Raw genomic sequence first — 12455 nt, forward strand, 5'->3', positions numbered from 1 at the left:
ATAATTATTTTAATCCTTAAGATAACATTAGTCTATTCAGTAACAACTGAAGGGGAAATAATACTGCATATTTATATATTATTCAGCATAACTCCAGTATACTCTGTTTTGTATTTTGTAAACCAAAGGAGTACATGGATTGGCATTTCCAAGTGACTAGATACAGGAGTGATTCTGCTTCTGAGGCAATGGAAGGATTCATAGTGTCTAACGACTTAATAAAGAAAAGAGTGCATACATTTTCTTCCTATTATGCTTAGAGAGAGTTTCTAATTAATCAAATATTATGTCTGCTGGGGAGTTATAGGATTTACTGTTTTTTAAGTAATACATTTAAGACTGTAAATACTCTAAGCAGAATTTGGTCTAACAAATGATTGTTGGCAATATTTTATACTTTATAATTTCTTCAATGTTGGAGAGCACACCTAGGTTCTATAACAGTTGTGCCTAAATGTTTCATGGTTGTTGGTGAAGCTTGTTTGCTTTTCTTCCCTTTTCAGGTGCTGTATTTGTAATTGTGCTATGAATTAACGTGGTCTGAGTTCTGTATGTTTGCTTTGTAGGTGTGACTATTGCAACAAAGGCTTTAAGAAGTCCAGCCACCTGAAGCAGCATGTGCGGTCGCACACCGGGGAAAAGCCCTACAAGTGCAAGCTCTGTGGACGCGGCTTTGTTTCCTCTGGGGTCCTCAAGTCCCACGAGAAGACACACACAGGTCACTGTCTGCCTTATACTTGGAGATTAGTCCTTTAAAGAAAAAAGCTTTATTGAGATATAATCCATATACCATTCAGTTCACCCACTTAAAGTGTACAATTCAGTGATTTTTAGTATGTTCATAGAGTTCTGCAACCATCAAAACTGTAATTTTAGGACATTTTTATTACACATAAAAGAAACTCTGTACCCATTAACAGTCACTCCCCATTTCCCCTCAATGCCCAGAACCTCAGGCACCCAGTATCTACCTCTGTCTTTATAGATTTGCCTGTCCTGGGTATTTTATAGAAGTACGTGGCATTTTGTGTCTGCTTCTTTCACAGCACAGTGTGCTCAAGTTTCACCTATGCTGTATGGGTGGATCAGAACCTCATTCCTTTCCATTGTAGGATATGCCACGTCTTATTGATCCATTCATCGGGTGATGGACATTGGAGTTATTTCCATATTTTGTTTATTATGAGTAATCCTGCTATGCACATTTGTATTTAAGTGTTTGTGTGGACATGGGCTCATTGCTCTACCTAGGAGTGGAATTGTTTGGTCATATGTTAACTCTGTTAAAACATTTGTTTTCCATTGTGGCTGTCGGATTTGACAGCCCACCGTAGCGTGGGAGGGCTCTGGTTTCCCCACATCCTTGCCAATGGCTATTATTGCTTCTCTTATGACCGGCCTTGTGGATGGTCATGAGCCTTCCCACGTGCCATTGTGGTTTTGCTTTGATTTGCATTTCTTCGATGGCTAATCATGTTAAACATCTTTCACAGACGCTGAGAAATGTCTGTTCTAATCCTATGCCCATTTTAAAATTGGATTATTTGCCTTATTGAGTTGTAAGAGGTTTTTATATTCTGGCTACTGGACCTTTATCAGATGCATGGTGTACAGTTAAAAATATTTTTAACATATTCTGTTATCTGTTACATATACTCAGTATATTCATTATAAGTTTAATATCAATGTATATTTTGTATAAGGCTTTATTTGAAAATGAAGATATACTGCTTAGAAACATAGAGCCAAGCAAAATAAGGAAAAGTTTTATTGACTGGTCCATAGGTTGATGATTGAGGAGTGGTTTTAGTGGATACTGGAAAGATTGCTGGCAGTAGTTTATATGGTACTTTGAAGGACATGCTACGGAGGCAGAGAGCAGCAATATATGACTTTTATAAGGAACGGTGGAAGAAAGACAGAAATAGGAGGAAAATAGCTAGTTACTTGGTTCTGTGTCATCGGTCCAGAGGAGAGAGGGCCTTCTGTATGGGACTTTATTTGAAAGTAAAGCTGTATAGAAGATTTATAGACTAGTTCTTAATGCCTAATCTACCTCATGTGCTATGGGAGTGATGAAAAGATGGATTGGAGAAAACATTTCTGGGGTAGAATCCACATGTTGCCAGTTTAAATGTAAAAGACCAAGGAGAGAGGGGACTTGATTTGTTTTGAAGACTGTGACTTCACAGAGCCTGCTGATTTCAGTAGAGAAGGCAGTAAGATGTCCTATGTCAACTTCCATGTTCTTAAAACAATCCCATTTCTAAAAATTGGAAACCCACACCAAATAAACTGTCTATAATTTTGTAATTTACTTTTTTTTTTTTTTAACCAAAGTCTGTTAAGCCTCAGGATAATGTTGTAACTTATTAAACATATCTTTGTTTGGTTTTGACTGCTTCTGGTTTTAAGGTAGTGAAATAGGATTGGTTCCAGCCGTTTTTTCTGTTTCTGTGCTTGCAGGAGTGAAGGCGTTCAGCTGCAGTGTGTGCAATGCTTCCTTCACCACCAATGGCAGCCTCACCCGGCACATGGCCACACATATGAGCATGAAGCCTTATAAGTGTCCGTTTTGTGAGGAGGGTTTCCGAACTACAGTGCATTGTAAAAAGCACATGAAGAGACACCAAACAGTCCCCTCTGCTGTGTCAGCCACTGGAGAGACAGAAGGAGGAGGTATTTTCCATTTGTTGATTCAAGGTGTATTAACCCGATGCTAATTTAGGAATAAATCCATTCACAAATCACCGTGAGTATTTTGACGTGGCTATATATAGATTAGTTCAGTAGCACCCTGAGTTTTTAATAATTTTATTTTCTGATTATGAAAGCCATACATGCTCTTGGAAGAAAAATTCAGAGGTGCAATGAAGAAAACATCTGCTCTTACAAATCACCACGCGCTGAATTGGCATTCACTCTCACACTGTGTTCTTCCTTTCATGCTTGGGCGCGCATGTTGCTAGAGACTTGAATGTTTTTAACAAATATGGTATCTTGCTCTATATAGTGTAGTATGCTTAATTTTTTGTCTACTGAAGTTTATTACAGGCATATTTAATTTATTGAACACAGGCCTACATCAGTTCAGATGACTCCGTGGAATTCCATCATATTTTATTATATAATTTTCTGTTGATGGGTTGATGGATGTGCAGCTAGTATCTGGTCTTTCACTGAAATGGTAATGGTAGCAGTTATGGACTGCTGTAACCCTTGGTAAAACCTGTGCTTGCCATTACGTTGTCTCATGTAATAGACACAAAACACCGCATAGTTGGAGGGATTAATCTCATTTTGTACGCTAGCCAGCTAAACATTAGACACGTTAATTCGCCCAAGTCCCATACCAAGTGGGAGATCCTGAGTATTATTTTTGTGCTTATACTTTTTGTACTTATAAGACAACTTCTTTTTAGGAAGTTCCACGATGAAATTATACAGTTACGAATAGAGCACATTTTATATTTTGACACGTTGCGCCAGCACACAGATTGCAGTTTTTAAATCCGTGTGTGTTCTGACACTCTTGGAGGTCACGGCTGGTCTGAGTGTATGTGTTGGCCTGGGCTCTTGCCTGTGCCGCGGCCATCCTGTCCTGGCACAGTTGGTGCGCAGTGTTGTCAGTGAATTTTGTGTCAGTGGCTGTGTGGAGACAGGGGTGCTAAATGGGGACTGTCATCGGAGGTCAGACCTGCTGGTGGCCCATCATCCTCTCTCAAGGTACTGCCCCCTCTGTCTGCTTTGCCACCATCTGACCGAAAGACCACAGTGAGACCATCTGGGGTCCCCGGTGGGTTATGGCAGTCTACCTTTCTCTGCTGTTTTGAGGAATAAGTCTGTAAAACTTGCCTAAACTCCCTCAAAGTAACAAAAACTGCGACTTAACCATTGCCAGAGCCATTGTGCACCTCATTTCTTTAGTAGATAATTCTGGAATAAAAGTTTCTGACCTGTTAAACTGAGATAGTTCAAACTCTTTAATCTGATGATACTTAGTAAAGCCTTCATTTCCATTTTTAAAATTCTGTCATGAGATTTCATAAAGTATAAAAAGAAAATGACCCTTTCCTTCAAATGAGTTAAAGGCTATAGGACATCCAGGCATTATTTCTAGAACCCCGTCATTTGGAGAGTGTTAATTTATCAGCCAAATACAAATAATCTCTAAGCCGCTTTACATATTCTTTCCTGTCAATTAATAAAGCTTCTAATGCTACTGAATTCTAGCATCGATTTGGGAGTTCTGTTTGGGCTTCATCTCACTGCTACATATTTATTTAGATTCACCTTGTATGCCTTGTTTTCCTTGGATCATTGTGGGGGAAACTGCAGATGAACTCTTGTCCATAGGAGAAAAGTCACGTGTTAAATTGCGTTGTTTTGCCCAAACCTAGAGACTTGGATAGGGGTTAAATTCCCTCACATTTATTGTGACGTTAGCCTGCTTGGCCTAACACTTGCCGACTGTTTCATGCTGTCTGTCTGTCGTGCTTAATTTTGTTGTTCTCTGTCTCCAGTCTGTGCTATACTGATTGTGTTCTCAGTTCGTTAAAGAATGTTAACAGAGTTACCTCCTTATTTCCTCATGTGTGTTGGTGGGGCCGCTATCTATAAGCTGCCCTCAAATCATTCCAAGCTTTATTGGTATAATGCGGACTTTCAGTTTGCTGTATCTTTTTCTGGAATTTCTACGAGATGGACATTGAATCCACTGGCTTTATCCTCCATGACTTTCTCCCTCAACCCACACCCTCGCTGTCCTTTGCTCCCCTCTCTTTCTTCTTCCCTCCCCAATCCCCTCCCATCTCTCATCTTTTTTCCCTTTTATGTGCTAAGAAAAATTATCCAGTTTGTTTTTAAATTTACTTATTTGGTGAATTAACCACTGTCCACTTTGCAATTTAGTGTTTCTGTTGAGTTGTAAGTTTTTTTCAGTCAGTCATACAATAATGACCTCCCTGCTCCCAGCCAAACTTTTTTTCCTTCTCTAGTATTCTTTTTTAATCAATTGGAATGCGTCCTTATTTTTCATTTAGGAATGAATACTTATGCATATAGTTCTCTCTCAGTATCAGCTGAGGATTGGTTCCTGGACTCCTGAGGACACCAAAATCTGCAGATGCTGAAGTTCCTGATATCAAACAGCATAGTATCTGCATGTAACCTACACGCATCCACTTGTATACTTTAAGCCATCTCTAGATCACTTATAATACCTAATATAAATGCTATGTAAATAGTTTGGGGTTCTTTTGAGAAACAGGGTCTCACTCTGTCACCCAGGCAGGAGTACACTGGCACAATCATAATTCACTGCAGCCTTGAACTCCTGGGATCAAGCAATCCTCCCACCTCAGGCTCCTGAGTAGCAGGGGCTACAGGCTCACCACCACGCCTGGCTGATTTAAAAAAATTTTTTTTTGTAGAGACGGGGTCTTGCTCTGTTGCCTAGGAGGTCTTGAACTTCCCTGCCAAGCCCCACCTTGGCCTCCCAATATGCTGGGATTACAGGCGCGCGCCCCCATGCCTGGTTAATTTTTAAATTTTTGGTAAAGATGGACTCTTGCTGTGTGGCCCAGGCTGGTCTCACACTCCTGGCCTGAAGCAATCTTTCCATCTCAGCTTCCCAAAGCGGTGGGATTACAGGTGTGAGCCACTGCACCTAGTTGTAAATAGCCAGTATAGTGTATCGTTTATTGAATAATAACAAGAAAAAAAGGATCTGTATTTTCTAACTGCAGTCGGTTGAATCTATGGATGTGGAAGGCACAGATACAGAGGGCCAACCACATATATTTTTAAAGTTTTATTTTCTTCTTTATAGTAATTGTTTTTAGTTGGGGGCTGTTTGCTAATTTATTAATTTGGTCTCCCATTTTTGGGCTTCTGGTTTTAAAAAATCTGATGGTAATTCATTTTTTGCCCTTATTAATAAATGAATATCTATATTTATGAATACCGGTAGCTTGTGTGGACACTGTCAGCCTCAAAGCTTACTCCTGAATTTTCAGGGAGGTGTAGAAGCAGGTCTTTAATCTGAGCGTCTTCCTAATGTTGGTCATCACTCTCCTAAAGGATGCCCTTCACTTGGCTTTTTTTTGGTTACATAATATTTCTACATATTTATGACGCACATGTGATATTTTGTTTCATGTATAGAATGTGGAATGATCAAATCAGAGTACTTGGGGTATTCATCACCTTAAGTATTTAGCAGTTTCTAAGTATGGGAACATTTCAAGTTCTCTCCTGTAGCTACTTTGAAATATACATTGTTGTTAACTAGTCACCCTACTCTGCTATCAAACATTAGAGCTTATTCCTTCTATCTAAGCGGATGTTTTCACCCCTTCACCAACCTCTGTTCATCCCCCGCCCCCCACTTTCCAGTACACTTGGCTGTTTTCTTTCCATGACCTAAGTTTCTCAATAGAGGTGGGAAAATATAGCAACTCTCTACCATCATAAAAATAGCTTGGTTGAGTTATTAATTTTCATTACATACATACCTATTTAGTTTTAATTGTTTTGCTAAAAACCTAGGTTTTCTTCATTACGATTTTGATCCCTTTTCCTTGATTTTGTGTAGACATTTGTATGGAGGAAGAGGAAGAACATTCTGACAGAAATGCATCACGGAAGTCTCGTCCTGAGGTCATCACTTTCACGGAGGAGGAGACAGCCCAGTTAGCCAAGATCCGGCCGCAGGAGAGCGCCACGGTGTCAGAGAAGGTCCTGGTGCAGTCCGCGGCAGAAAAGGACCGCATCAGTGAGCTGAGGGACAAGCAGGCGGAGCTGCAGGACGAGCCCAAGCACGCCAACTGCTGCACATACTGCCCCAAGAGCTTCAAGAAACCTAGCGACCTGGTGAGGTGAGGGCATGGCTACGCCGCGCGGGTTCCGCTCTGAAGACTGGAGGTGCAGGCAGCTGCTCCTTTGGTGATTTTCACTGCAGCAGGGCCATTAGTTTCTGAACCTGGTGTCACCTGAGTGATGGCAGCTTACTTACTTGAATGTATGGTTTTAAGCTTGAATTAGTTCTCTGTAGTAAACTCATTCAGAATATTAATTAGTCTGTTTTCGGCTGTGCATGGTGGCTCACACCTGTAATCCCAGCACTTTGGGAGGCTGAGGCGGGAGGATCACCTGAGGTTGGGAGTTTGAGACCAGCCTGACCAACATGGAGAAACCTGGTCTCTACTAAAAAATACAAAATTAGGTGGGTGTAGTGGTGGGTGCCTGTAATCCCAGCTACTCGGGAGCCTGAGACAGGAGAATCGCTTGAACCTGAGAGGTGGAGGTTATGGTGAGCTGAGATCATGCCATTGCACTCCAGCCTGGGCAACAAGAATGAAACTCCGTCTCAAAAAAAAAAAAAAGTCTGTTTTCTCTATAGATTGCTTATGCTTATTTCTGTATGGTTGTCATAGTAGTAAACAATGAAAACAAATGTATCCATTGAGGAAGGCAGGGCTCTAAGCTTTGTGGACAGGCAGAAGAGCAGCAGGCGCCCTCCTGCCTCTGAGGCCTGCCAGTCAGTGTGAGGAGTGGGACACAAGCGTGTGACAGGAGGGAGACTAATTGGCAATCGGCCAAACAGCAGTGGCTGATACATGAGATCGAGTTGAGCAGAACCATGAAGAATCTGGAAACCAAGACCCATGGTAAAGAACAGAAGGGGCTCTCAGAATGTCCTTCCTTTCTGGAGAAAGGAAGACCAAAGTATCAGCGTTCTCCTGAAGAATCAGAAGTGTTTCTGTATATAACAGGGATGCTTATGTTTTGCTCTAGGAGATAGAACTAATTATTCAGCAACTTAATAAAACAAACCGTGAAGATTTTAATATTGCAGGATGTTTCAGAAAACCAAAGGGTGTGTTCCTTGTACTCTGTTCTACAGAGGACAGCAGCAGGTGCTGCAGGGAAAGGGTAGGTGGTTTCAAGGAGCTGTTGGGTTGGCAGTGCCACCCTAGTGAGCACACACCTTGACTGCTGGCCTTCATGTTTCGACCACAGCAGGAAGGGGAGGTGTGTTCAGCTAGAGAGTGACAATGAGGGAGGTCACTGGAGAAGAGAGAGAGCCCAGGTCCCACTGGGTGGTGTGGCCACAGGACCCTTCAACAGCGAGCTCTCGTTGAGCCATGCAGTGAAGTTCCGGGGTAGGATCTAAGTTGATGGTGTGATCTGAGGTTGGGCATAAGACATAGAAAGTTAAACTAAGGAGAGGAGGAGCTAAGGGGTTGTGATGGAAAACTTGAGATGTTTATAAGAAGGAGTCCAGTCTGGCCAGCAGTTGTGTGTGGCCTGGAGGAACTCATGAACTAACTGATAGGGTGAGATAGTTTTCCAGTAGGGGTTAGTGGTGGAGTCATAGATGAGAAAGTCAGGCCTGGCAAGGGTGTCACATGGAGGTGTTGAGACAGCAGTTTGTGACCTGCCTGTGGGTGGGGCGTGCCAGCCAATTAGCAGAGACAAAATGCTACCAAGGCGACATAAAGTGCTAAACATGTCTCCATCGACTGTACCTGAAGACCAGAAGAGTGGGATGTTCTTTTTTTTTTTTTTTTTTTTTTGAGTTGGAGTCTCGCTCTGTCGCCCAGGCTGGAGTGCAGTGGCGTGGTCTCGGCTCAGTGCAAACTCCGAGAACGGGACGTTCTTATAGCTGTGTTTTCTTCTTCTTGTCCTATCCTTCATTTTAAAAAAGTTCAAGGTTCAGACTCCCAGTGAGTAAGTGTGATGAGAAACAAAAAATGGTACTGAAGGGTGTCCTGCTCCCCAGAGATAAGCACTGTTAACAGTTTTTTGAGTATTTTTTTCGGAAATGTCTAGACATATACCAATGTTAAGTTGTACGATTCTGGTTTTCAAATTTTTACATATCAATGAGTCATAGGTATTTTTCTTCGTCAGTATCTATAAACCTATTTTATTCTTTTTAATGGCAGTGTAGGGTTCTGTTGCATGGGGATACCAAATTAATCTTACCAGACCCCTCCCGACGAACACTGAGTTTCCACGCTTGGTGACTGGCAGGGCGCTGTGGTGACTCTTCCGTGAGCCTGTGTGCCTCTGATGGCTCAGTGAGGGTAGAGTCTGGCAAAGGCCACCAGAGGGCCGTGTGCCTCTGTCTTTCAGAGACTCCGAGTGCCTGTTTTACAGCTGCAGCCAACAGGATGGGGGAAATGATATCTCGTCGTTTTCATCTGTTCTTCTTTGATTCTAAGTGTGATTGAACAGCTTTGCATATGGTTTTTGGCTGTTTGTATTTCTTCTGTAAACTCTCTGTGCATTGCCAACTTTTCTACTCTGATATCGTTTGGGTTTTCCTGCTGATTTGATTTGTCAGAGTTCTTGGGTTTTTTAAGGAAATTGTCTTTTTTTTTTTTTTGAGACAGAGTCTGACTTTGTCACCCAGGCTGGAGTGCAGTGGTGTGATCACGGCTCACTGCAACCTCTGCCTCCTGGGTTCAAGCGATTCTCCTGTCTCAGCCTCCTAAGTAGCTGGGATTACAGGCGCCTGCCACCACTCCCTGTTAATTTTTGTATTTTCAGTAGAGACAGGGTTTTACCATGTTGGCCAGTCTGGTCTCGAAATCCTGACCTCAGGTGATCTCCCTGCCTCAGCCTCCCACAGTGCTGGGATTACAGGCGTGAGCCACCGCTCCTGGCCCTAAGGAAATTATCTCTATTATTATTTGTCCTGCAAATATTTTCGTTGTTATTTGGATTTGTTTATGGTATTTTTTGTATGGAGTGAAGCTTAAAGTTTTTCTTGGCCAAACTTAAGCAGAACGTAGTAACACCTAATTTTAATTTATATAGTTATAAATTTCAAATCATGAAGTCGTTTGTCAATATGTCTATAATTAATGCTTTTTGGATAGGCATGTTCGAATCCATACTGGAGAAAAGCCATACAAATGTGATGAATGTGGAAAGAGTTTTACTGTGAAATCCACTCTCGATTGTCATGTGAAGACTCACACAGGTAAGGAAAACATGCCTGCGTCATTGGTAGAGGTCTTAGGATAGCATTTCGTATGTTTTGTTCCTATATATTTTGTGTACATAAATACTTTCCAAATTATAGAACGCTTAAAAATGAGGCACCAAGAAGGAAGTGATATAAAAGATTTTTTTATTCCTGACACAGGGAAAACTGTCCAAATGACACTAAGAAAAAAAAGGATTAGGTCTCAAAAGTTGAATTTTTCTTAAAAATTGTCACGTATTCTTACTCATGCTTAAATAACTTTGTTAAAAAGATTACCTCTTAGTCTCATTTAAGCCAAAGAGGTTTAGTTTGTTGAGGTTTTGTAAAACCTGGCACTTAGCAAATCTGATGGCAGTTATCATTTCATAATTATTTTTATATGGGGAGAAACTCTTGCAAAGGCAGAAATGAATGTCCAAGTTTCCTGGCCTTTTTCTCATCTTCATCTTGTCTGTGCCTTTGCTTCTGGAATTCTGCACAGTGCCTCCTAGCGGTGGGGAGGCTGCCTCTGCCTCTGCCTGCTTGGGAATCCTGTAGTCCTCCTGTGAGCTCTGTGGTCCTAGACAAGGTTCTCCTCTCAGCCACAAGTTTCTTCTGCAGAAGATGGGGCTAATAGTTGTACCTCCGTCTTTGGGAGTTCAGACATTTAAATAGCTTTAAGCATTAAGACATTTAAATAGCTTGGAAAAGTGTTTGGCCTTTGGTAAACACTTAGGAATGGATTGGCCTGTGGTAAACGCACAGTGAATGCAGAGCTGTTGTTATAATGATTCATAGAATTATGATTATGAGACTAATTTACATTCTTCATTGTTGGTTATAAGCAGAATTCAACAGACAAGAACAAATGGACTTTCACACATTTACCTGAAGCCCTGTGATTCTTTTCTGATGGGTTAATATTTGTAACTAGATAAACAGATCCCTGAGCTTGTTTATATGACTGTCCTGTGTGCAGTTTTTCTGTTGTTTCATTAGGCTCCCTGTATTTATCTCTTTTGTGTAATGCAGTGAACTTTTTGTGGATATGGAGGGCCCGGCATCACTTATCTTTGTGCCCCCAGGCCTAGGGCACGGCCTCTCATGCAGCAGGTGCCCAGTGACGTCCACGATGACTTGGTGCACGCTGCTTCATCATTTCCTTGGTTTTGGAGTTCAGCGTAGGCCACGTGGATAAGGACTAGAAATGGAAGTCTCTGGATAAATACCTTTTGGTGCCTCTTTCTCCATTCTGAAGTAGAGGTGTGATTTCTGAGGAACCCAGGGCGGCGTTGGGATAGCAGGTTGCACTAGTCCCTCGGTGGATCCTAGTGTGCACCATCCTGTAAAAATTAGCATTTGTTCCTGGACAGTAGAGGGGAAAAGCCAGCCAGGAAGTTTTTCAGCTCCCAGAGGCTCTTGGAGGGTGGAGCCTATGCTCATGGTGCTCCGAGCCTTCGTGGCCTTTGATATACCCAGTAATCATGAAAAGAGCCTAAGGAACTAGGTACATGACACTAGGCACACAGCCCTTTGACCCTAGCATAGAACTTTCCTTTGCATATTCTCCCAGTGTGATGCCTACCTGTGCTGGCATTGTGGTTGCCCCTGTTTGGCAGAAGAGAAGATAGAGAGATGCTGAGATGTTAAAGTACCACTTGTAAAATTAAAGAAAAGTGACAGTAATTCAGAGCCGGGCTGTTAAGTCATACCACCCATTAGCTTCTGATAAATATAAATCAACTACTCCAATCAAGGTTCAGAATAATGCAGTGGTTTAGAAACACTGTAAACCTCAAAGGCTTGTGAAAATGCTAAATTCAAATTGTAAACAATACACTGTTAAATTTACAATACTGCAGCAATTGCCTGTGACGTCCGTAACATCTTATAGGTGAAAGGGATTCTCATTAAAGTACTTCCATCCACTGATTCAACATATTTACATCCATAGTGACAGCTGAGTGGGGTGGGGGTGAGTGTCGCGACTGCCATCGCCTCTGTTGATTCTTGGCTGGGCTTTTCACAGGTCAGAAGCTCTTCAGCTGTCACGTCTGCAGCAACGCCTTCTCCACGAAGGGAAGTCTGAAGGTCCACATGCGCCTGCACACGGGAGCCAAGCCCTTCAAATGCCCGCATTGCGAGCTGCGTTTCCGTACCTCGGGTAGAAGAAAGACACACATGCAGTTTCATTATAAACCAGACCCAAAGAAGGCCAGAAAGCCTATGACTCGAAGCTCATCGGAAGGACTGCAGCCTGTAAACCTCCTCAACTCCTCCTCTACTGACCCAAACGTGTTTATCATGAACAACTCTGTTCTAACAGGACAGTTTGATCAGAATCTGCTGCAACCAGGACTGGTGGGCCAAGCTATTCTCCCTGCCTCTGTGTCAGGTAAACGCTGAGCCGAGGGAATGAGAGCAGCACAGTGATTGAACTGTTCTGTGCTGCTTCTGTCTGTTCCCACGACAGAAG

The 12455-nt window shown here is 42.2% G+C and overlaps 1 protein-coding gene across 7 annotated transcripts in view; it reads left to right on the plus strand.

Annotated features, from left to right (window-relative positions):
• ZNF236 (zinc finger protein 236) overlaps positions 1–12455 on the plus strand; it is a 150345-nt gene that overhangs the window by 90624 nt on the left and 47266 nt on the right. For all 7 annotated transcript variants that reach the window (NM_001306089.2, XM_011526168.3, XM_011526169.4 and 4 more), the window contains 5 exons: positions 567–718; positions 2467–2679; positions 6596–6878; positions 9891–9994; positions 12009–12374. In NM_001306089.2, the coding sequence (NP_001293018.1) occupies positions 567–718; positions 2467–2679; positions 6596–6878; positions 9891–9994; positions 12009–12374 (1118 nt within the window). The remainder of the gene's footprint in view (positions 1–566; positions 719–2466; positions 2680–6595; positions 6879–9890; positions 9995–12008; positions 12375–12455) is intronic.

This window comes from Homo sapiens, chromosome 18 (assembly GCF_000001405.40).
Source record: "Homo sapiens chromosome 18, GRCh38.p14 Primary Assembly".
NCBI lineage: Eukaryota > Metazoa > Chordata > Mammalia > Primates > Hominidae > Homo > Homo sapiens.